General features: G+C 39.4%; 1 protein-coding gene across 2 annotated transcripts in view; it reads right to left on the reverse strand.

The window, feature by feature from the left end:
* DENND2C (DENN domain containing 2C) overlaps positions 1 to 26,942 on the reverse strand; it is an 87,200-nt gene that overhangs the window by 57,754 nt on the left and 2,504 nt on the right. Inside the window, exons 2-3 of one of the 2 annotated variants that reach the window (NM_001256404.2) lie at positions 13,902 to 14,158; positions 4,845 to 4,956 (exon numbers count right to left, since the gene is read on the reverse strand). The exons of the other annotated variant lie outside the window; for it this stretch is intronic. The gene's annotated coding sequence lies outside the window, so the exon portion shown is untranslated. The remainder of the gene's footprint in view (positions 1 to 4,844; positions 4,957 to 13,901; positions 14,159 to 26,942) is intronic. 2 annotated transcript variants of the gene reach the window in all.

Here is a 26,942-nt window from a genome sequence, read left to right on the forward strand (position 1 = left end):
ATTAAGGTCCACTTCAGTGCTAAGCAGGAGTTCAGAGAAAAGATGCAAGGACACGAATCTTTAAAGAAAATAGTCTACAGCTAGATCAACTTCATGCACTGAAACTGTTCGGAAACCCGAAGGCTTTTACACATCAACACAGAACAAAGTCAGTCTCTGGAAAAATACACAAAAACATAAATTTTTTTTAAGTTTTATCACAATTTAACACAAAACACAATTTTAACATAATAAATAACTGCTGTTAAAGAGTAAAACACATGCAGATATTTTAATAACAAACAGCCTTTGATTTTTTAATTAAAGCTATTTAATAGTTTGAGTGCCTGTGTACTAGTCTCAATTTGTCTCAATTTATTGCTTACTGATTGCTATTATTAGCTTGACAATGCACAGAAATTCTGAAGAGAGAATATGTTCCTGTTATGTTTGGCTTCCTTAAAAAAAAATCTTTCTAAAATCTGTTTTTTAGAGAGCAGGAAAGAGATAAGAAGATTCTCTGAAGGTAGGAAAGCCATTCCTAGGTGAACAGAATAAATCACTTTGGCCGGGCATGGTAGCTCATGCCTGTAATCCCAGTACCTGTTGGGAGGTCAAGGTGGGAGAATTGCTTGAGCCCAAGAGACCAGCCTGGGCAACATAGCGAGATCCTTTCTCAAAAAAAAAAAAAAAAAGAAAAGAAAAAGAAAAAAAATCGCTTTGAACTCAGCAATTAGAGGCAATACTAACATAATGGCAAAACAAATATATAGCTGATACAGTTTGGATATTTGTCCCCTCCAAATCTCATGCTGAAATCTGATCTCCAATGTTGGAAGTGGGGTTGAGTGGGAGGTGTTTGTGTCACAGGGATGGATCCCTCATGAATGGCTAACTGCCCTCCCTAAGGTAACAAGTGAGTTCTTGCTCTATTAGTTAACACAACAGCTGGTTATTTGAAAGATCCTGGCACCTCCTCTCAACTCTCTTGCTCCCTCTCTTGCCATGTGACACGTCTCCTCCCCCTTCACTTTCCACCATGATTGTAACCTTCCTGAGGCCTCACCAGAAGAAGATGCTAGGGTCATGCTTCTTGTCCAGCCTGAAGAACCATAAGCCAAATAAACCTCTTTTCTTTATAAATTACCCAGCCTCAGGTAATCCTTTATAGCAACGCACAATGGACAAATACAATAGTCAACAAATACTTATGAAACAATTGGGAAAAGCCAACTGCACAGTTTTAAACCTATTTTAAAATGTCGTAGGTACACAAAACTTGTGTTTTTATGATGCATACAAAAATAAGATCATAATTTTGCCACTAAACTAGTTTCCGGTATATATCATATATATACACACATATATGTATATATATATATTTTTTTGAGATGGAGTCTTGCTCTGTCACCTTGGCTGGAGTGAAGTGGCACAATCTCAGCACACTGCAACCTCTGCCTCCCGGTTCAAGTGGTTCTCCTACCTTAGCCTCCCAAGTAGCTGGGATTACAGGCATATGCCACCACGCCCAGCTAATTTTTGTATTTTTGGTAGAGACGGGTTTCACCCTGTTGGGCCGGCTGGTCTCAAACTCCTGGTCTCAAGTGATCCGTCCGCCTCGGCCTCCCAAAGTGCTAGGATTACAGGTGTGAGCCACCGCGCCCAGCTAATAAAATTAAGCAGGTAAATATTTCATGGTGTGCAAGAGATAAGATAAAGTCTATACTCCTTAATATGACATATAAGGTCTTTCACCCTCTAATTCAAGCTCTGACTCTTGCCACTTGCCTTACTCACCAGCTACATATTTTCCAATAATGCCAAATAATCTGGAACTATTAGCAGTCCAAAGTTAGAATGTTCGAGTTAGAATTCAAACACTAACATAGATTTGGTTCTTGGTTGTAAATCATTAGTCCAATTAACCCTTCTAAGCTTGTTTTCTTATCTGTAGAATGATCACAATGTTTACAGATAATACTTACTGAGCACTTAATATGAGCCAGGCATAGCTCTACTAACTTTAACCATATTAACTCACCTAATTCTTGTAACAACCCCATGAGGTAGATACTACTGTTAATCTCATTTTACAGATAAGGCAATGAGGCACCAAGAGGTTAAGTAACAAATACATGTCTTAGCATCCTTTGGCACAACAGATACAGATATTTATTTTATAAGGTTGTGAGGATTAAATATCAGATAAAGTAAATAAAATGTTTAAGACAGTGACTGGAATACAGTAACTGCTCAATAAATGACAGGTACTATAAATTTCTCTCTGAATACACCATGTACTTTCAAGATCAGTTGAAAGTTTTTCCGTGAAAGCTTCCTTAGCCCTTTCCCCAGAGTTAATCACTCCTTTTGTGTGCTTCTATTACACCTATTTGCATATTGTTATACTTTTACAATTCTGAATTTGCCTTATAGCAAATACCTGTGTATGTCTTTGCCATGACCTCAAGACTCTTAACACTCATTCTTGCTGGAGACACTTAGAAAAAGAGGAAAGTCAGGGATAAGACTGAAGGGGAGGTAGTATGAATAGTGACAAGTAAATGCTTCTGCAATGCTGTCTTAGAAGACTTAAAGTAAACCTCAATCTCAGAATGTCACTCCTGAACTTGTTACAGCAGAGGATGCTAAGGCTTGTGTCAGGGAAAAAAATGAACAACATAAATTCTGCTCAGGAAGTTGGGTGGGAACTTGCACTGTTCGCATTATTTGGTTTTTCAAATTTCTATTACATTAACACATTATTTAATCGAAAGCCTCAATACATTTTTAATAAAGCCCACAGGAATATATCTTGCATAAGATTCTTCATTAAATGTGGCTAAAAATATTTTAAAACAAATAATAAAGGACCAGACTAATAGGGAAAAAAAGTGTCAAACAGGCTTCTACTTTTCAAACCTCTATCATCTTGTTGACTGTTCCTTGAATAACAAATCTTCAAAGCAAGCACATACAGGATACCAGCCTTTTATCTCACTCCTATCAGAGGAAACAGCCTTATAAGTAACTAAAAATGGTTCCCAAAATAACAAAGAAACTTTAAATAAACTCCTAATATTGCTTATAACACATAATATAAATTTCTCAAGCCATTACTGTGCCTATTAGTAAATCAAGAAATATGTAAGAATCTTTAAAAAATAAATTTAATTCTTTAACAGTTCCATCAAGTCTGTTGAGATATTTGTCATGGAAATTTTTTCAGGTTTTTTAAAATGAAAGAATGAAAAATGATAGCTGACATATGCAGATTATATTCAGAATTTTGAGGCATAAGCCAAAGACTTAGAATAATGCTAATTTCATGATTGTGTTACATGGTTGGTTATCCGCACTATTCATAAAACCTTCCAAATGACTACAATTCCTTTTCTTTGCTGTTTACTGATTGTAACGGGTACTACTGGAGGGTTTATTTGCCACAGCTACATGACCCTAGGTGTTATCCCCATAACTAATCCAATGGTAATTCCTGTTAACTCCACCTTTAAAACAAATCAAATTCCCACCACTTATCATCTTTACTGCTAACACACCAAACCAGGCCACCATCACTTCTTCCTCTCTCATTTTCTATTTCTAGTCAATTTTCACCTTCTGTGTTCATTCTATCTAAAATAAAGCTCCTTTTCCAACATGATTTTCTATGTCTTCACTCTGCTATATTTTCTCCATAGAACTTATCATTTATCTGAAATTGTGTTATTTATTTGTTTACTTCTCTCCCTCACTGGAATATAAGCTTTTTTACTACTGTATCCCCAGCACCCAGAAGAGTATGCACCATACAGTAATCCCTCAGTAAGTATTTGTTGAATGAATGACAAAATCCTAAATATAAGAATGCTTAAAAGGAAAAGGCTTACGAAAAATCTGCAGTGCCTATTACTTTAAGTGCCTCCAATGATTTGAAGCTGCCCCATTTGTAGAATGGGGAAGCTTCTTAGAATAGTTTAAGAATACGAGTAACACCAAAATAACTTATTTAAATAATTCACACCACAATAAGAATGTTTTTTGTATATTTACTATTTGCCAAGCACTACATGCATAATCTCATTCTATCCTCATAACAATCCTTAGAGGAAGATATCTTCATTTTCTAGATGAGGAAACTGAGGTTTAGCAAGTTTCGATGGCTTTCTAAGGTCATATACGTTGTTACAATTTGAAAAGCATAATTTAATAGCACATAACATACTACCTTCAGGATAGAAAGACATTTTGAGAAGGGGCAATATCTAAGTCAGGGGTCTCCAATGAAGAAAATAATTGATTTATATGTATTTATTTATAAATTGTAAACATAAAACTATAATAATATCATGAACATTATAAAGCATACTGAAACTAAAAATTTAAAGGCATGAGATTTAAAAAATCATTTTACTAGTTTAAATTAGTAAAAATTAAATATGTAAAAGGAGGGTATAGTAACCATTTCATTCTCACTGAAGTTTAACTACAAATATTTTGAGTAAGAGCAATGTGATTAAACGTGGTTTTTTTTGATACAGTGATTCAAAGATTTAGTCCAAAACTCAGTTTATTTCAATACTTGGTTCTAAGGGTGTTATAGATCGAACCGTGTCCCCTGAAAATTCATATGTTGAAGTCCTAACCCCCAGCACCTCAGAATATGACTGGATTTGGAGATCAGGTCTCTTGAGAGGTAATTAAGTTAAAATGAGGTCAGTAGGGTGGGCCTTAATCCAATGACTGGTGTACTTCGAAAAAAAGAGGAAACCTAGACACAGACAGACAGAGGGGAGACCATGTGAAGACACAGGGAGAAGACTGCTATCTACGAGCCAAGGAAACAGGCCTCACAAGAAACTTACCCTGTTGGCACCTTGATGTTAGATTTCTACAGCCTCCAGACTTGTGAGAATATCAATCTCTGGCGTTTGAACCACTCAATCTGCGGTATTTGGTTATGGTAGACCTAGCAAACTAATACAAAAGGCCACAGTAATAGAAAAAGATAACTCACCACAAATACATGGAAAACAATGAAAGAAGAGCTTCACTGACTGAATCAGAATACTTATTTGTCAATTCTATTCACCTTAAATTAAGCAAGGATTTTTGTTGAAATTTGACTAGTAAATTTTCATCTTCTCTAATGTTTATCATCTGTACTTTCAAACTAACTGAACATTTAAAAATTTTTAACAAACTGATTCAAAATCTAAGTGTGTAGATAGGAGAGCTTTACAGATAACACATTCTTTGTTTTGGGCAACATTAAGTAATAATTGATATATTATGAAATATCAAATTTTGTCTGCAAATCATGTTTCTTTAGAAAAACAATTTCTCATTCTTTTTTTTTTTTGAGACAGAGTCTCGCTCTGTCGCCCAGGCTGGAGTGCAGTGGCGCCGTTTTGGCTCACTGCAAGCTCTGCCTCCCGGGTTCACGCCATTCTCCTGCCTCAGCCTCCTGAATAGCTGGGACTACAGGCGCCCGCCACCACACCCGGCTAATTTTTTTGTATTTTTAGTAGAGACGGGGTTTCACCATGTTAGCCAGGATGGTCTCGATCTCCTGACCTTGTGATCCGCCTGCCTCAGCCTCCCAAAGTGCTGGGATTACAGGTGTGAGCCACTGCGCCCGGCCTGTTATTCATTGTTAAAACATCATGTTTACCTCGTAGGGACACACTGAACATGTTTAAGATAATTTTTTGCTGACAACCACTTGTCATTACAGAAAATCAACAATTTTAGAACACTTTTCTTTGGAAAAGGAAAATGGTGTGACATTTTAAGTTTTGCAACTTTAAAAAATACTTTTCCATAACGTAATCAAAAAACTAGTGTGCGATATATTTTCATGACTGTGACACTTCTCATTTTCAAAGGATTATAATGATTCTATTATTTAAGATATAATCTGTAAATCCACCTACTTGGACACATATGAACTGCTCTATGTTGCAACAGCTAAAAGTGCACAAACAAGTGAGGATGTCACCGCCAACTCCGTTTTGTTTGAGGGAATGTCTACTCTTCCCTTGGGGATCATTCCTTATATAAAGTCTGATCCAGAGAAAGCACCAGTGTCAAACTGTATATTAAATATTTAGAAAAGCTTAATTTATTTTTAGATGAAAATGAATACAAGTAGCATTTCTAATGCTTTTTTCACATCCTAATGTACCATCTTGTGTACCTCTGGTAGATCATGAGTCCATAATAAGGTATTCTGACTTACACATGCATTAGCTTTAATGTTCACCATTTCACCTAGGTAAACAGAGAATATTTAGGGCAGGCACGGTAGCTCATGCCTGTAATCCCAGCACTTTGGGAGGCTGAGGTGGGAGGATCACCTGAGGTCGGGAGTTTGAGACCAGCCTGGCCAACATGGCGAAACCCTGTCTCTACTAAAAATACAAAAATAAGCTGGACGTGGTGGTGCATGCCTGTAATCCCAGCTACTCAGGGGGCTGACGCAGGAGAACTGCTTCAACCCTGGAGGCACACAGGTTGCAGTGGGCCAAGATTGCACCACTGAACTCCAGCCTGGGCAAAAGAGTGAGATTCTATCTTAAAAAAAAAAAGAGAGAGAGAGAGAGAGAGAATATTCAGGGGTCTGCTAAAATAACCAGGTGGCCAAAAGTTGTATGAATATATAATGTAAACAACCCTTTCCTTTGTTTACTCAGAAGAAGGAAGAATTATTTCTTTTTTAATTTTTATTTTTAACTGATCAATTCCAATTGTGTATGTTTATGGAGTACAATGTGATTTTTTTTTTTTTTAGACAGAGTCTTGCTCTGTCACCGAGGCTGGGTGCGTGATCTCGACTCCCTGCAACCTCTGCCTCTCGGGTTCAATAATCCACTATTGTACAACCTGGTGACAATAGTCTCTAATATTCTCCTGGTTTCTCAAGCCATTTAGTTGGCTTCTAAATCACTTCTTTATACCATTAGGTAATGTTTGTGAAAGGAATGCACTGCCAAGTCTGGCTAATTTTTGTATTTTTAGTAGAGACGGGGTTTTGCCATGTTGGCCAGGCTGGTCTGTGACCCCTAACCTCAAGTGATTCGCCTGCCTCAGCCTCCCAAAGTGCTGAGATTACAGATGTGAGCCACTACGCCTGACCTGTATAGCATATATTTTAAATAATTATTACTTATTAAGTGTTTACATTTGCCAGGCACCATGCTATGTATCTACTTTCATTACTACTTTTAACTCTTTTTTTTTTTGAGACAGTCTCACTGTTGTCACCAGGGCTAGAATGCAATGGCGCCATCTTGGCTCACTGCAAACTCTGCTTCCCAGGTTCCAGCAATTCTCCTGCCTCAGCCTCCCGAGTAGCTGAGATTACAGGTGCCCTCCACCATGCGCAGCTAATTTTTGTATTTTTAGTAGAGGCATGGTTTCACCATGTTGGCCAGGCTGGTCTCAAACTCCTGACCTCAGGTGATCCACCCGCCTTGGCCTCCCAAAGTGCTGGGATTACAGGCGTGAGTCACCGCGCCTGGCCTTCATTTAATTCTTACAACAACCCTAACAGATAGTTACTATTACCTGCAATAGTAGAAAGTTTTATTATTTTGTGAATGGGGAAGCTGAAGCTGAACTGGTTAATTACCCAAACTAACACAAACCTAGTTCTACTTTACTCCAAAGTTTGTGCACTAAACCACTGTATATTATACTACTTGTTAGTTGGTAGACATAACAATAATATAAACTAATGCAACAGGATGTCAAATGCAACTTTTCCTGTGTTCTCCGAGTTTCAGCAGGGCCTCAAAGGCCAAAACCAAAACAATAGGAGTCGAATACCCCCATATTCTAAGAAAAGTGCAAGGCTTAGAAAGTGAGGTTGCCAAAAATTGGCTCTGCTGACATTAGTTCACTACCCTTAAGGCTGTATAAGAGAAGAATTACAATTTATTAAATTGTGAGGATTACAAGGGACAACAGAGAGGACTTCTTTAAGGAAACTAGGTGGTGTGTTTCCCTGCCTCCTACAGGGAAAGAGGGATATACCTCTTGCCTACCTCAAGACAGGGACTGAAACCTCAAGACAACCACTCAAAGTGCTTGAGGCATATCCCCAGACTTAGGGAAGTACAGAGACACAGGGACTGGTATCTGACTCCCACCTGGTGGATAAAAAGAGCTGACATGTAGCTAAATTTTAAAGACCACTCAGGCACAACAGTCAAATGAGAAATTTCAGCAGAAGTTCTACAAAATGCCACAGTGTGGAAAATGGCACGTAAAACTAACTTTAATAACATTAAGCTTTTAGAATTTAATTATATTAATGCAATGTTATTAACTGTCCATATAATTAAATAAAATGTCTCTTTTCACATAATTATCCTTTTTTTTTTTTGAGACAGAGTCTCACTCTTGTCGCCCAGGCTAGAGTGCAGTGACGTGATCTTGGCTCACTGCAACATCCACCTCCCAGGTTCAAATGATTCTCCTGCCTCAGCCTCCCGAGTAGCTGGGATTACAGGCGCCTGCCACCATGCCTGACTAATTTTTGTATTTTTAGTAGAGACAGGGTTTCAGCATGTTGACCAGGCTGATCTCAAACTCCTGACCTCAAGTAATCAGCCCGCCTTGGCCTCCCAAAATGCTGGGATTACAGGTGTGAGCCATTGCACCCGGCACTTTTCACTTAATTATCCTTTTAAAAATCCCCTTCAAAGTAAAAAATAACTGTCCCAAACTAGAACTTTTCAGCTACACAAATTGCTTCAAAACAACTTTAATGTAACCTAGTGTTTTCCTAGTGTTTTTGTTTTGTTTTGTTTTTGAGATCGGTCTCACTCTGTTGCCCAGAGGCACGGTGTGATCATAGTTTACTGCAGCCTTGACTCCCTGGGCTCAAGCAATTCTCCTGCCTCTGCCTCCCAAGTAGCTGGGAATACAGAGCATCCCACCACATCTGGCTAATTTTTAATTTTTTTTTAAATAGAGACAGGGTCTCGCTGTGTTGCCAGGGCTGGTCTTGAACTCTTGGGCTCAATCCTCCTGCCTCAGCTTTCCAAAGTGTTGGTATTATAAATTTTGAGCCAATACGCCTGGACAATAAAACCTAGTTTTTAAACCACAAATTCAGACTTGGTAAATTCTTAGCAAGACACTGAAAAATAAAGGCAGCAAAATCATTACTAAAGTATTCAAAGGTTGAAGAAATTTTCCAAAAGCTAAAAAGAAGCAATAAAAAAAAGTTTTAAAAGTCACAAAGTAATACTACTACTTTTCAGAAATTTTGAAAATAGAGGAAACAGGAGAAAAATACCCGTAAGTCTACTACCTCCAACATGGTCACTGGGACATTTTGGTGTATCTTCTGTTTTTTAAGCACATTTTTATACAGATGCAATTACAGTGTATACATAATTGTATCCTGCTTTTTTTCATTCAGAGTTATATAAAATGATGCAATTTTGGCCAGACTCGGTGGCTCATGCCTGTAATCCCAGCACTTTGGGAGGCCGAGGTGGGTGGATCACCTGAGGTGAGGAGTTCAAGACCAGCCTGGCTAACGTGGTGAAACCCTGTTTCTACTAAAAATATAAAAAATTAGCCAGGCGTGGTGTTGCACGCCTGTAATCCCAGTTACTCAGGAGGCTGAGGCAGGAGAATCGCTTGAACCCAGGAGGCGGAGGTTGCAGTGGGCTGAGATCATGCCATTGCACGCCAACCTGGGCAATAAGAGCGAAATTCTGTCTTAAAAAAAAAAAAGATGCAATTTTCAAGAATTTCAGCAATTTTCAAGAATTTCAGACTATGGCTGGGTGCGGTGGCTCACGCCTGTAATCCCAGCACTTTGGGAGGCCGAGGCGGATGGATCACGAGGTCAGGAGATCGAGACCATCCTGGCTAATGCAGTGAAATGCTGTCTCTACTAAAAATACAAAAAAAAAAAAAAATTTAGCCAGGCATAGTGGCGGGCGCCTGTAGTCCCAGCTACTCAGGAGGCTGAGGCAGGAGAATGGCGCAAACCCAGGAGGTGGAGCTTGCAGTGAGCTGAGATTGCGCCACTGCACTCCAGCCTGGGCGACAGAGCGAGACTCCGTCTCAAAAAAAAAAAAAAAAAAAAAAGAATTTCAGACTACAGACATAACAGGCTTTCTTAAGAAACACACATTCATAACAATTGTACAATGTAACTTTCTATTTCATTCTAAAGCTTAAAATCCAGAAGATGTATTTCTCAAATTTTCAAATGACATTACAAAATTATATATCCTTTGCATATTTTATCTCATTTGACAATAAAAGAGCAACAAAAGTAAAACTGCAGTAACATGGACATTAAATACATCTCGTATCCTTCACAGTGCCATTTAAAACACAGTAAGGGCATTAGCTGGGTGTGGTGGCAAGCGCCTGTAGTCCCAGCTACTTGGGAGGCTGAGGCAGGAGAATCACTTGAACTCAGGAGGTGGAGGTTGCAGTGAGCCGAGATCGTGCTGCTGCACTCCAGCCTGGGCGACACAGTGAGACTCGAGACTCCATCTCAAAACAAAACAAAACAAAACCAACAACAAAACATAGTAAGGGCTAGGCATGGTGGCTTACACCTGTAAACCCAGCACTTTGGGAGGCCAAGGCAGGAGGATCACTTGAGGCTAAGAGTTTGAGACCAGCCTGGGCAACACAGTGAGACCTTCCCTACACATACACACACACACACACACACACACACACACGCCAAGTATGAAACATGTGCCTGTAGTCCCAGATACTCAGGAGGCTAAGGCAGGTGGATCACTTGAGCCCAGGAGCTGGAGGCTACAGTGAGCCATGATTGCACCACTGCACTCCAGCCTGGGCAATGGAGCAAGACTGTCCCTAAAAATAAAAAATAAAAGTAAAAAGTGCCTGTAATCCCAGCACTTTGGGAGGCTGAGGTGGGCAGATCACCTGAGGTCAGGAGTTCGAGACCAGCCTGGCCAACATGGTGAAACCCCATCTCTACTAAAAATACAAAAATTAGCTGGGCATGGTGGCATGTGCCTATAATCCCAGCTACTTGGGAGGCTGAGGCAGGAGAATGACTTGAAGTTGGGAGGCGGATCCTGCAGAGCTGAGATCACGCCACTGCACTCTAGCCTGGGTGACAGAGTGAGATTTTGACTCAAAAAAGAAAGAAAAAGGAAAAGTTATTTCCAACTCTTCTTCCTGAACAATTTGGCCCTAATTAGGCAAAGCAGAGTAAGTAAGGCAGGCACACTTGCCTCATGCTAAGGAGCAAGGTAAGGAGAGCATCTGTGTAGGAGGGCTGCCTACTGTGGAAGTATCAGAGCCTAAACAAGGTAAGGAGTGCAGTCCCACAGAGGGGTAGCCCAGCATGGGATGTTAGAGCTTCAGCAGAATGAGGAGGGTATCCAGGCTGATAGATGGCCTGGTGCGGGGTTGTAAGAGTCAGGACAAGGTGAGGAAAGCATCCTAGGAGGGAGCCGACTGGCACAGAGTATTGGCAAGTGGACCTTGGGCTTGATTTCAGCTCCTTGGCTGGATGCCTGTGTGTAATGCACAAACTACCCAATCAAACACAGCACCCTGACTGAATGCTATGCAACTATTAAAAAGGATGAGGTAGAGATCTGTATGCAGATATGCAAAGATGTCCAAAATAAAAGTGGGGAAAAGCAAGTGGAAAAACAATTTTCAATACACTTTTTAAAAAGGATATACATATATCTATATACCTGCTATACATACATCTATATACAAGCCCTCCCCTCACACATGCACTGCAATAATGTGAATTTGAAAGTTACACAATTGACTCTTATTCTCTGTCCAGCCCCCTTTTCTCAAATGGGGGGTGGGCAGGCTATAGTTCTCTTCCTCAAATTGTAGGAGATGGGTAGTTAGGAAGCAATCATTTTCTGACCATTTGAACTTTTTCAATTCAGTATAGTAATCCCTTGGTATGTGTGGGGATTGGTTCCAGGACCTCCTTCGGATACCAAAACCCATAAAGGCTGAAGTCTCTTATATAAAATGGTGTCGAATTTGCATCATAAAACCTACTTACAACTTATAGCCTTACATTTACTTTTTTTTTTTTTTTTTTTTTTTTTTAAAGAGGCAGAGTCTCCTCATTGCCCAACCTGAAGTGTAGTGGCTATTCACAGACACAATCATGGTGCACTACAGCCTTGAACTCCCGGGCTCAAGTGATTGTCCCACCTCAGCCTCCCAAGTAGCTGGGACTACAGGCCCCATGCCTGGCTCTATCTCCCACATGCTTTAAATAATCTCGAGATTACTTATAATACCTAATGCAACGTAAATGCTATGTAAATTACTATTATACTGTATTGCTTAGGGAACAGTGACAAGCAAAAAAAAGTCCATACGTGTTCAGTACAGATGCAACCATCCAGTTTTTTCTGAATCTTTTCGATCCGTGATTGGTTGTATCCACAGGTGCAAAATCCATGGATACAGAAAGCTGACTGTATATGATCAGTTGTACCAATAAAGTTTTTTTTAACTTCACATTGGTACTTTTTTTTTTGAGACAGAGTCTCACTTTGTCGACCAGGCTGGAGTGCAGTGGTGCAATCTTGGCTCACTGCAGCCTCTGCCTCCTGGGTTCAATCGATTCTCTTGCCTCAGCCACCCGAGTTACTGGGATTACAGGTGTGCACCACCACACGGCTAATTCTGGTATGTTTTTAGTAGAGATCGGGTTTCATCATGTTACCCAGGCTGGTCTTGAACTCCTTAACTCAAGCAATCCGCCTGCCTCAGCCTCCCCAAGTGCTGGGATTACAGGTGTGAGCCACTGCGCCCAGCCTCCTATTAGTACTTTTTATACTATTAATATCAAACCATATTTTTAAAATGTTTTTTCATTATCCTTATAACAAGACTCAAGATTTTTATAAGATTGAATTTTTTGGTCCCCATTTATTAAATTACGGTGGTTATGCAAGAAATTGTCAACAATGGTACCAGTGAGAGAACTTGGGGTAGGGAAACAAGTTATTTACTTTTTATTTTATAACTTTTTATAATGATTAAACGTTTTGTGTTTTTTGTTGTTTTTAAATGTTATAACAGGATCTGAATGGTGGAATAATGGACCTTTTAAGTGGTATTTGTTGTATTTTTCTATATTAAGTAAAACCCTAGTAAATGTTTTTTAAAAATGAACACATATGATGATGCAGAGATATCACTTCCAATAATTTATCCTAATGAATTAAGTAGACAAATTGACAAAGATATATGTACAAGAGGAGATTTAGAATATTATATAACTGAGAATAAATTTCCAATAGGTGATGATTAAATGTACCATGGTAAAGCCATACTCTGAAATACGATGAAGTTGTAACATGATCAAGATCTATTAAGTAAATGAATGTTATAAAAGGTTGTGTAATATAAATTAACTTTAATCTGTAAGAATAAATAGAATTTATAGTTAATATGGATACGCACCAAAAAGCTAACAATGATTATCTCTGGGTGATGTAACTATGGTTGAATTTTCTTTTGGTTTATCTGTATTTTCTAATTATAAAAAATAAACAGGCCAGACACGGTGGCTCATGCCTGTAATCTCAGCCCTTTGGGAGGCTGAGGTGGGTGGATCACGAAGTCAGGAGATCAAGACCATCCTGGCTAACATGGTGAAACCCTGTCTCTACTAAAAATACAAATAATTAGCCGGGCGTGGTGGTGGGCACCTGTAGTCCCAGCTACTCAGGAGGCTGAGGCAGGGGAATGGCATGAACCCGGGAGGCAGAGCTTGCAGTGAGCCAAGATCACGCCACTGCACTCCAGCCTGGGCGACAGCCTGGGAGACAGCCGTCTCAAAAAAATAAATAAATAAAAATAAGCATAAATCACTTTTATAGCATTTGTTTCAAAAGGAGATAACTTACTTTTTAAAGATTCATCAAATACTTATTGAACACCCACTTCATACAGAGTATTGTGAGAATTAAAACAGCAAGAACAGTGATTACACTTCATTAAATATTTTGTTAAATACTATGTGCCAATCACTTCAATCACACTATCACAATTAATTTTCATAGCACCTCTTTGGGGTACTATATAAGATTAAGTTTTGGTACATACAGCCGGAACTGGAAATAGCAAGTGGTTTAAGCAATACCGATGTTTGTTTCTCTGCCACCTAAAAAAAAAAAAAAAAAAGACAAAGTAGGCAGTCTAAGATGTCATCAGGTCCCCAGGTGCCTATATTTCTGCTATGCCACCCTCAACATATGGATTCTGTCTTCAAGATCACTTCATAGTTCACACACGGAGCTCCAGCTATTACATCCACATTCCAGGAAGCAAAAAGGAAAAACGCTCTATTTAAGCAGCCTTCCTGGAAGTCCCATATAACACTTTTGCTATGGCTTATTGACCAGGACTTAAGTCACATGTACAAACTGCAAGCCAGGCTGGGAAATATAATCTTTAATCATTTTATCCTGCAATGTGCCTCAGGTAAACTACTGAGTTCTATTACTTAGAAGAATGGATATTAGATTAGGCAAAAAATCTCTGCCACAAGCAGGTATTATTATCCTCATTTGCACACAGAAAACAGAGGTACAGAATCAAATGGTTAAATGGCAGAGCATAATTTGAAAGCTGTCTATATACCTTTCACTACACACTCTGTGTCCCATTAGAAAATTATATGCATCAAAATAAAATATAAGCACACTCACAGGACATTTATATATGATTAAAGGCAGTTTATTACTAAATGAGATTATTGATAGATGAGAAGTCATCTACAAAATGAACAAAACTAAGAGCGCATTCCTGGCAAATGGAACATCAGCAACAAATTATTTATGAAGCACCTATGATGCACCAAGTGTTTTCAAAAACCTATAAAAAATTTTTTTGTTGTTGTTTGAGATGGAGTCTCGCTCTGTTGCCCAGGCTGGAGTGCAGTGGTGTGATCTCGGCTCACTGCAACTTCCATCTCCCGGGTTCAAGTGATTCTTCTGCCTCAGCCTCCCGAGTAGCTGGGATTACAGGCGCCCACCACCATGCCCAGCTAATCTTTGTATTTTCAGGAAAGACGGGGTTTTGCCATGTTGGCTAGGCTGGTCTTGAACTCCTGACCTCAGGTGATCCACCCACCTCGGCCTCCCAAAGTGCTGGGATTATAGGCATGAGCCACTGTGCCCAGCCCAAAGCCTGTAAATGTTTTAAAATGTAACATACATAAAGCACATAAAGTCCACTAATCTTACATGTACAGCTCAAAGAACTTTTATATATATATGTATAAATATATATATATATATAATATGTATGTCAGTCATATTGTTGCATATAGCAGTCGGTTTTTCTTCGTTTCTGTATACTATTTCATTTAATGGTAATGCCAGTATTTATTTATCCATTCTCCTGTTGACTGATATGTGGACTGTTTCCAGGTTTTGGTTATTACGAAGAAAGCTGTTCTAAACAATTTTTTTCTTTTTTTTCGGAGATGGGGGTCTTGCTCTGTCATCCAGGCTGGAGTGCAATGGTACAATCACGGCTCACTGCCAACTCAACCACCTGGGCTTAAAGTGATCCTCCCACCTCAGCTTCCCAAGTATCTGGGACCACAGGTGTGTGCCACCATGCCTGGCTAATTGTTTAAAAACTTTTTTTGTAGAAATGGGGTCTTACTATGTTGTCCAAGCTGGTCTTAAACTCCTGGCCTCAAGCGATCCTCCTGCTTCAGGCTCCCAAAGTGCTGGGATTACAGAAGAGAGCCACTATGTTCAGCCTGTTATAAACATTCTTTTTCTTTCTTTCTTTTTTTTTTTTTTGAGACAGAGTCTTGCTCAGTTGCCAGGCTGGAGTGCAGTGGTGCGATCTCGGCTCACTGTAACCTCTGCCTCCTGGGATCAAGCGATTCTCCTGCCTCAGCCTCTCAAGTAGCTGGGACTACAGGCATGCACCACCACGCCCAGCTCATTTTTTGTATTTTTAGTAGAGACGTAGTTTCACCGTGTTGGCCAGGATGGTCTCGATCTCCTGACCTTGTGATCTGCCTGCCTCGGCCTCCCAAAGTGCTGGGATTACAGGCATGAGCCGCCGCACCCGGCCTAAACATTCTTATATGTATCTTTGATAGACACAATCACACTTCTTTTGGGTATTATCTAGGAGTAGAATTGCTGGGTTATAGAATAGGCATATGTTCTGGGGCTGGAACGCAGTGGTGCAGTCTTGGCTCACTGCAACCTCCACCTCCTGGGTTCAAGCAATTCTCCTGCCTCAGCCTCCTGAGTAGCTGGGACTACAGGTGCATGCCACCACACCTGGCTAACTTTTGTATTTTAGTAGGGATGGGGTTTCCCCATGTTGGCCAGGCTGGTCTCGAACTCCTGACCTCAGGTGATCTGCCCACCTTGGCCTCCCAAAGTGCTGGGATTACAGGCCTGAGCCACCGCACCTGGCCAAGTAGGCATATGTTTAACTTAAGTGGACACTGCCAGAGTTTTCCAAAGAGGCTGTACTAATTTACACTCTCACCAGCAATATATGAGGTTGCAGTCACTCCTCAGTCATACTGGAATTGTTAGTCTTTTTAATTTTAGCCATTCTGGTATGTAGTAGCATCTCACTGTGGTTTCCATGTCAACTTTTCAAACTCATTTTTTTCTTTTGTTTGTTTGTTTGTTTCTTATCGTACCATATTTATTTTTACTTTATTACTGTACCATCATATTTTATTTTTTAAGATTATTTTTATACATCATCATGTTCTGTTAGAATTGAGCTTTATAAACTCCAAAACATTGGTAATCAAGCGTAAGTCAGTTCTCAGACATTTTAGGTAAGTCCTCATGTATCACAGATGGCAGTTTAAGTCACGAAAGTAGACAAAAGATGGTAGAAGTACTATCAATGTGTGGAATCATGGAAGCCAAAGGAAGAGACTCTATCAAGAAGGAAAGAGTGGTCAACAATTGACAGATACATTGTCAAAAGGTCAAGTAAGATAAAAACTGCAGTGTCTGTTGGTCATTAGGACTTGGACAAGAGCAGGTTCAGTGGCATGGAGGCTGAAGGAAAATAAGTGAATTGAGAATTGGATGAGAAAAAAGAATGCAAATATCAACTGTAGACAATCCATTCAAGGAGTTTATCCAAATAGACGAATAGACAATAGAGTGGAGCTGGACAGGAACGTGAAGTCCAGGAAATCTTTCTAAACTTGTTTCTTATACAAGTTTAATCTTGTTCAAACACCAGTGGGAAGGAGTCGCTAAAGAGGAGAGAAGAAAAGAAACAAGGGTATAAAGCAAAGACCTAAAGAAGGAGAGAGAGCATGGGCCTCCAATGGGACCGGAAAGATTATCAGCATCTGCCAGGAAGAGGGACAGGTCTTCCACTGGAACTGAAGGTAAATGATAAAAGAAAGATAAGAGTGCAGGTAAATTTCCAGGTTTAGGGGCTATACACTGATGAACTTTCCATCTGATGGCTTCTATTTTCTATTTTAACAGCCACAGTTATCTGCTGAGAGTAAAGTGAGAGACAGAAAAGCCAAAGGTTTAAGGAGAAGGAAGAAGGTTTAAAATAGGAAGTGTGAGGAGAAAAGGTGCAAGAATACACAGGTTCCCTAAGCAGAGAGTTTTCAGAGTTATGAAAAAAACCTTTGAGAATATTCATCATGATTAGGGACCATAGATAAGAAGAAAAAGCATCAGATAAAGAGTGGGAGAAAGACTGGTGAGAGGTAACAAAACCAGGATAACATCATGAGAGGAAAAAATTCTAAAAAGAAAAGAAAGATGCAAACCAGTGTCATACAAGTAAGGAGAATAAAAACTGAGAAACGATCCTTGCATTTGGTAAGAGGGCATTAAATAAATGGTTTCTAAAGGATGGTGAAGGCAGATAACAGCAAAAATTAAAAAGAAAATTAGTGAGGAAATGGACAAAGTATGAAGACAACATTTATTTGAAACTCAGTAAGAGGGATAATAAAAACAAAAAGAAGATGCAACTTCAAATGAAACATTTTAAAGTTGGGGAAAATCGATATTTTTTAAAACTGCAGCAAAAAATAATGAAAGATATAATAAATACATGGAAGAGGGAGGAGAAAGTCTGATGGAAGAAAGGTGCTACGACTCACAAGAGGGTCAAAAGAATGGCAGTACTACTTTGCAACAGTTCTTTAGTCTTAATACAAAATGATAACTTAGGCAGAGGAGGATTGCTTGAGCCCAGAAGTTCAAGACCAGCCTGAGCAACATAGTGAGACCCTGTCTCTGTTTTTAAAATTTTTTAAATGATGATAAGCAATGTCACTTAATCATTCTTCAAACTAAAAGAAGAACTAAGCTGCAAGAATTCATTCTCTTTTTGGAGTGCACATTAAACTCAGTTATTGATGTGATGCATCGCTTCTCAGTCTTCTGGCTAAGATCAAGTGTATTGATGTGATAGGGCACAAATGAATCTCTTGGCCAAATATTTTTCTTTAATGTTTCAGGTTTCTCTTCAGGAAAATAACAACTGAAAGTCTGGTAATAGTAATAAGAACTAACAATCTCTCTATATTTTATTTTGTTCAAACTTTCTTCACTGATAATGCCATGTTCAAGATGCAGTAGTGGCCAGGCGCGGTGACTCACGCCTATAACCCCAGCACTTTGGGAGGTAGAGGCGGGTGGATCACTTGCGGTCAGGAGTTCGAGACCAGCCTGGTCAACACGGCGAAACCCTGTCTCTACTAAAAATACAAAAAATTAGCCAGGCATGGTGGCCGGCACCTGTAGTCCCAGCTACTTTGGAAGCTGAGGCAGGAGAATCACTTGAACCCAGGAGGCAGAGGTTGCAGTGAGCGGAGATCCCACCACTGCACTCCAGCCTGAGCTACAGAGCTAGACTCTGTCTCAAACAAAACAAAACAAAACAAAAAAAGTGCAGTAGTGATGCTTGAAAGATACAGTAGCCAGATATAGACAATAGTACCAAGTGTCATTTGTCATAACAATGTCTTTTGGAACCCTTCAGCATATAGCTTCAAAGGTAGTTCACTAGACTGCCAAAAGCAGCAACTTTGCAAATTTTGTTATTCTAAAATATTGAAAAATATCTGCCCAAGAGATTCCTTTCCTTTCCTTTCCTTTTTCCTTTCCTTTCTTCCTTCCCTCCCTCCGTCTTCCTTCCTTCCTTCCCTCCCTCCCTCCCTCCCTTCCTTCCTTCCCAAGGTCTTATCCTCTTGCCCAGGATGCAGTGCACTGGCATAATTGCAACTCACTGTAGCCTCACTCTTTGGGCTTACGCGATCCTTCTACCTCAATCTCCCGGATAGCTAAGACCACAGGAACACATCACCACGCCTGGCTAATTTTTTTATTTTTAGTAAAGACTGGGTTTCGCCATGTTGCCTAGGCTGGTCTCAAACTCATGGGCTCAAGTGATACTCCAGCCTCAGCCTTCCAAGTGCTGGGATTAAAGGCATGAGCCACCATGCCTGACTGAGATTGCCTCTCAGCTAGAAAAATTCTGGATTCATAAAATCTGCTTAGCTCCTTATCTCAACTATCAAACTCCAATGTGATATAGTAAATAGGTACAGTTAACTCTGAATATTTTAAAATGTTGGTTACTCAGCAAGCTTCCTTTAATATAATTAACAACTTTCAATATATTCATGAGATTCAGAAAGTTTTCTGTGCATACCAAAGCTTTGCAATATATAAAACAGCAGTTTCAAACACCATTCTTAGCCCTTAGAACAAACAGGACAGAAACGGAGCCCAGCAGTGACTTGCTGGACAGTATGTTCACCCACACCCAGCCTATTGTTTTTGCTGGAGGGAAAGCTCCAAGCTTTCCTGCTGCCCTGGACATTCAGAAGAAAGCAGGAGGATGTCTATACTTTCAGCTGTATTGTTTTGACTACTGGCTGTAAGTTTGCCTGTCTCTAATTCCCTCCCTCCCCTTGAGTGTTGGAAGGTGCTTTGAGGAGATACTCATTAAAACACACTGTGAGACTTGCACGGGAGGCTGGACAGGGGGAGGGAACACTGTTAGTAGCAGCTTCAAACAATGCTTAAAATAACTGCTTTATATTTTCTAACCACATTTGCTATTCAATTGCTCATAATTATTTAATAGTTTTTTCCCAGTTTAATTTCTGAGGATCAACAATTTATTTTTTAAAATTCTGTAAATATACCCATACAGCTGTGGTTAAATTTAAACAACAAGAAAATCCTGCCGGGCGTGGTGTCTCATGCCTGTAATCCCTGCACTTTGGGAGGCCGAGGCAGGCAGATCACAAGGTCAGGAGTTTGAGACCAGCCTGACCAACATGGTGAAACCCTGTCTCTACTAAAAATACAAAAATCAGCCGGGCATGGTGGCTCGCACCTGTAATCCCAGTTACTCAGGAGGTTGAGGCAGGAGAATCGCTTGAACCCGGGAGGCGGAGGTTGCAGTGAGCCGGTATTGTGCCACTGTGCACCTGGGCGACAGAGCGAGACTCCGTCTCAAAAAAAAAAAAAAAAAAAAGAAAAGAAAATCCTCCTTATTATCTTCACTACCTAAAAGCACAGTACAACTTACAATATCAGCGACCCCATCGATTTGGATTGCAAAATCTGCACCAGACTCTACCCATCTTGCAAGCACTGCTGAAATGTCCAATAATGGTAAAGAATAGAGCTATGTCATCACTAAGAAGTATAATTTTTAATTTCCAGCTGATTTAGCATCAAAAATCATGAGCACAACTTCCATGAATTATAGATGAATACTTTTTTCAAGAGATATGTAGCCATTTTTCCCTTATGCCACTGATACACAACTAAATGAGACAATAATCTTTCTCAGGAATGATTCTTGAATAAATAGGAAACTGAGATAACTTTATCTCTTTTTCTTTCTTTGAAAATATTTGAAAGGGCTTATTTAAAAGTCCAGTATGCTATGTTTCCAAGAATCTTTTTAACTTTAAAGGTTTTTAATTTTCATTTGCAACATTATATGAAGACATGGGTCTGTCATTTTACTCAGATTTTGCCCATTTGACAAAGCCATATTTTAAATAATCTTCATTGAAAGTCTTAATAGTTTTTCTCAGGTGACCATTTCCCTCAATATTTTTGTTCTTCCAGATCCAGTCATTGCACATACCTCTGTATTTTTTACTTCGTTTTTTTCTTCTAATAATGAAACAACAAATTTGAAAGGCAAATTGATCCAATTTGATTTAAAAATACAATTATCACCAGACTCTTGAAAATATCACACTTGACGAATGCAAAGTTCAAAAATAAAATTTGGTTCAACGACTCACCATTTTTAACAACAGCAGACAAAATTCTCCCACTCTTTGCTCAACCCTGATTTATGTCAATAAAACTATACATTGATAGCTATCACATTACACTCATGATTAAATTGACCATCACTCTAATTCACATAATTTTCCCCTTTTGTTCCAATTACCCCTTATAGTTTAAATAGGGCCCAGGGAAAAGGAAATTTTCAGTAAATACTGTTGTGGAGCAGCCTATGTCATTTCCTCACAGAAGGCTCTATTATTATAGCCTTAATAGATCCTTATTTAATCAGAATATCAAAGAGTACAGATAAATATTTAAATACAAAATTATGCTTTACACTGCTAAGTAACCAATTCAAACACATCCCACACAGCTGGGAGATTTTGTTTTTTACTCCAACAGAAAAAAAGACAGAGAAAAATGCAAATCCCTTTTAAGTAGCAGCAAAAATAACTCTCTCTCTCCCCCACCAATCTGTCCCTGAATTTTAACATCCAAACAAAAAATCCGCAAATATGTCATTTCTATGAATTCAAACTTGAAGGAAAAAAAATAATAATTTCTCTCCATATCCTTTGTTGTAAATATTTATCACTGCTATGAAAACTACGAAAGTTAGACATTTAACTTTAAAAAGTACAGCACAACCTTCAAATAATATAAATGGATTAATATTGCCAGAACTAAATGCTAAAAACTCTGTTTTCACGCCACTAACCAGAAGTCTAAGATTCATAAGAAAAAAAAAAAAATCTTGAATTTATTCCTCAAAAATAGGGGCCAGGCATAATGGCTTCGTACCCCCAGCGCTTTGGGAGGCTGAGATGGGAGGATCCCGAGGTCGGGAGTTCAAGCCCAACCTAGACAACGTATTGAGACCCCATCTCTACAAAAAGTTTTTTAAAAAATTAGCCAGTCTTGGTGGCGTGCACCTGTAATGCGAGCTAACTGGGAGGCTGAGGTGGAGGGATCGTGTGAGCCCAGGGGTTGGAGGCTGCAGTGAACTATGATTGTGCCACTGCACTCCAGCCTGGGTGACAGAGAAAGACCAAGAAAAGAAAAGGAAAAGGAAGAAGGAAGAGGGAAAAGGAAAGGGAGGAAGGAAAAAAATGGGTAAATACCTGGAATAGATAGATGTGAAAAAGTCAGTCCTTTAAATTTTTTTCTCTTATCATCATCTACTTAATCCTTCAGTCTTATAATTTGCTATACTGCTTATAAAGTGAAGACATTATCATGTTTTCTTTTCTTTAGGATAAAACTTATTCATTCAGGGCAGAAGAAAAAGAGAATAAAATTCCATCCTGTCCAACCCTCTGGGAACCAGTGCAGAATACCCCTTCAAATTTATCTTTTATTTCACCCAGGTTTCAATGTCCCCACTTTCACTGAAGCGAAAAGATCAATGTTTTATTGATTCAGTAAAGAACACTGAATATCAAAAAACATTTTTCAAACATACTTTTTTATTCTGACTCTGTACAAGTTAATCTATTTCTCTGTATCTAAAGTTCCAAACCAGTAAAGGGAGTATTTTCCATTTAAATGAGAAATGGGGGATGAATGAAAATGTTTTAATTATTTTAAGAAATGTACTAGAATTTAAAAACAGGAGGTATGATTTCGAAGAACCATGATTTTTTTTTTCTAAACCAAGCTTACGAATTCAAATATTTCAAAGATCCGTTAAGGTTGGCAGACTATGGCCTACCTGTGGGCCAAATTTGGCCCACTGCCTGTTTTTGCAAGGCCTCTGAGTTAAGAGTGGTTTTTACATTTTTTAATGGTTGGGTGGAAAGATCAAATAAGTATAACATTTTGTGATGTGAAAATTATATGAAATTCAAATTTCAGTGTCCATAAATAAAGTTTTATTGGAACACAGTCCATGCTTATTCATTGAAGCGTTGTCTATGGCTGCTTTTTGGCAGAATTGGGTAGTTATGACAGAGACCGTATGGCACACAAAGTACAAAATATTAATATTTGCTATCTAGCCCTTTACAGAATATTTGCTAACCCCTGCCTTAGAAGACCATACTGCTATTCTTTTTTTTTTTTTTTTTTGTCTTGTCACCCAAGCTGGAGTGCAATGGCACGATCTTGGCTAACTGCAATCTCTGCCTCCCGGGTTCTAGCAATTCTCCCACCTCAGCCTCCCAAGCGGCTGGGACCACAGGCATGTGCCACCATGCCAGCTAATTTTTTAAAATTTTTTGTAGAGACGAGGTCTCCTTATGTTGCTCAGGCTGGTCTAGAACTCCTGGGCTCAAGTGATCTTCCCATCTTGGCCTCCCAACGTGCTGATTATAGGCATGGGGACACAGTCTTTTGTTGTTTTTTAAGCTTTGTCTATGACTTCCAAGAACTAAAGATCCAGTGATGGGATAGGAATATGCTTTCGAAGCTTTGATTGATTGTGAACGGAAGCTGGGCACAGTGGCTCATGCCTGTAATCCTAACACTTGGATAGGCTGAGGCAGAAGGAGTGCTTAGGCCCAGAAGTTTAAGATCAGAATGGGCAACACAGTGAAACCCCATCTCTACAAAAGAAAAAAATTTATGTATTTATTTATTTATTTAAATTTTTTTGAGATGGAGAGTTTCGCTCTTGTCTCTCAGGCTGGAGTACAATGGCACAATCTCAGCTCACTGCAACCTCCACCTCCTGGGTTCAAGTGATTCTCCTGCCTCAGTCTCCCAAGGAGCTGGGACTACAGACACGCGCCACCACATCCAGCTAATTTCTGTGTTTTTAGTAGAGATGGGGTTTCACCATGTTGGCCAGGTGGGTCTCAAACTCCTGACTGAAGTGACCCACCGCCTTGGCCTCCCAAAGTGCTAGGATTACAGGTGTGAGCCACTGTGCCTGGGCAAAAAAAATTGTTTTTTAATTAGCAGGGGGTCAGGCCGGGTGTGGTGGCTCACACCTGTAATCCCAGCACTTTGGGAGGCCAAGGCGGGTGGATCACCTGAGGTCAGGAGTTCGAGACCAGCCTGATCAATATGGTGAAACCCCATCTCTACCAAAAATACAAAAAATTACCCAGGCATGGTGGTGTGCGCCTGTAGTCCCAGCTACTTGGGAGGCTGAGACAGGAGAATCACTTGGACCTGGGAGGCAGAGGTTGCAGTGAGCTGAGATCACACTACTGCACTCCAGCCTGGGCAACAGAGAGAGACTCTGTCTCAAGAAAAATAAAATAAAAAATAAAAATTAGCAGGGGGTGGTGGTGCATGCCTGTAGTCCTAGTTTCTCAGGAGACTGAAGCAGGAGGATCCCTTGAGCCCAAGAGGTCCAGGCTGCAGTGAGCTATGATTGCATCACTGTATTCCAGCCAGGGTAGCAGAGCAAGACCCTGTCTCTTGAAAAAAAAAAAAAAAAAGTAAATAAGTTATATGTGCCATGCAAATAAAGAGACAGAAAAACAATTCCATAATAAAGCCAGAAGATCTACGTTCTTGTGTAGCTGTGAATTTGCTATAAAGCTTTTTACAAAGAGAAGCTCCAATAATACTTTGGGCAATACAGACAGTCCCTGACTTAATGATGGTTTAAATTAACAATTTTTCAACTTTATGATGGTGCCAAAGCAGTATGTGCTCAGTACCCTCCTTAACTTATGATGGGGTTACATTCGGATAAACCCTTCGTAAGTTTATCACATGTTGACTAACAATATTTTCAACTTATGATGGGTTTATTCAGACATAACCCTATCGAAAATTGAGGAGCATCTGTACTTCTGGAATAAATGAGTGACTTCCAAATGAAATTTTAAAAGAACAGGACTCATTTGGATGTAAAAGTTGTTCAACTTTCAATTAAAATCCATTTCATTGCTTTATAATAATAATTTGTTGGACAAAATTAGCATAGATAAATAATTCCTTCTACTTACATAAAGCAAATCATTTATTCTTGGCCCTCTTCTCTTCTAATTCTACATACTCCCTTGAGCAATTTCATCTGCTCTTACGGCTTCAATTAACACTTACTGGCTACCTCTGAAATCTGAATCACCAATTTTAGCCTGGCTTCTGGACTCTAGATCCTCTCTCGACATCTCCACTTGAATGCTCCAAAGACAATTCAAACTCAACATGAATTCAAAATGGAAACAATTATCTTCCTCCAATATTAAAAAATAAAACAAGACCCTTCATCCAAACAGTTTTCCAAGCTAAAAAACTAAGTCATTTACTTTTCTGTTCCTCTTTTGAGCCAATTGATTTTAAAGCCCTGTCAAATTCTACACCTTCACTATCTATCCTCTCCTCTCCATCCCTATTACTATTTTCCTACTCCAGGCCCCTATCCTCCCTTATCTGGACTATTTCAATAGCAACAGCCTCCTAACTTATCTCCCTACCTTTTGTCTCTCTTCATCCAATTCAGCCTCCAAACCATTTTCAGCTTATCTTTCCTAAACACCTATATCTAAAATCCTTCACTGGCTCTCCATTGTCTTTAGAATCAAGTCCAAAGTCCTTAGCACGATACTCTGGCTCTTCAAGACCTAGCATCAGAAGACTTTTTTCCCTCTTTTTCTGAATCATAACTTTTTTTTTTAAAGACAGTCTCACTCTGTTGCCAGGCTGGAGTGCAGGTGCACGACCTCAGCTCACCGCAACCTCTGACTCCCTGGTTCAAATGATTCTCCTGCCTCAGCCTCCCAAGTAGCTGGGATTACAGGCACACGCCACCACACCCGTATAATTTTTGTATTTTAGTAGAGATGGGGTTTCGCCATGTTGACCAGGATGCTCCCGATCTCCTGACCTCTTGATCCACCTGCCTTGGCCTCCCAGAGTGCTGGGATTACAGGCATGAGCCACCACGCCTGGCCCTAAATCTTAACTTTTTACTTACCTAAGTCTGTAATGTTATCTTATATCTTGTACTTCAAAGTATTAAAAGTACCTTTAACACCATATTTTTTAGTGAAACATTCTGCCAAACTGAACTAATTACTCATTTCATTGTTCCAAATGAAGGGAAGTGAAATACCACATTACCTAGCAATTTTAGTGATCCTAATGCAATCAGCAAGGAAGCTTTGCAATTTTATTTTTTCATCTTATTTCCAGGCACCATCTCCTTTAGCCAAACCACCCATTTCTACACACCCTGGCCTTCAGTACAATGGACTACAACACATTCCTCAAACATACCATATACTTGCACACTTATCCCTGGTTTTCATTCATATCTCCTGTTTCCTGACCCAATTTCAGCAAACTCCTATTCATCCTTCAAAGCCAAATTTAATATCTTCTCTCTAATCGTCCTCCCTACCACACGCAGAATGATTTTTCCTCATCAGTGGTTAAATTCTATCTATACTTCTTTCTTTTTCTTGCAACTCTTCAAACGTACCTAAATCTATACTTCTTTACAGCTCTTATCATGCTGAAATTGTAGAGCCTTATTTACATGTTGGGTTATAAGCTTCTTAAAGACAGGGAAGCATTTTCTCTTCTTGAATCTAATACTTAATTTACAGTCTGAGAACAGATATTTTTAACTTCTTAATGAAAGAAGTTATGAGGTGCTTTTTAATGAAAAATAAGCACCTCATATTGTTAAGATAATGCCATAACTGTTGTTACTGAGGGACTGAGAGCTTAGAATCATCCCCA

Source organism: Homo sapiens, chromosome 1 (genome assembly GCF_000001405.40).
Source record: "Homo sapiens chromosome 1, GRCh38.p14 Primary Assembly".
NCBI classification, from domain to species: domain Eukaryota; kingdom Metazoa; phylum Chordata; class Mammalia; order Primates; family Hominidae; genus Homo; species Homo sapiens.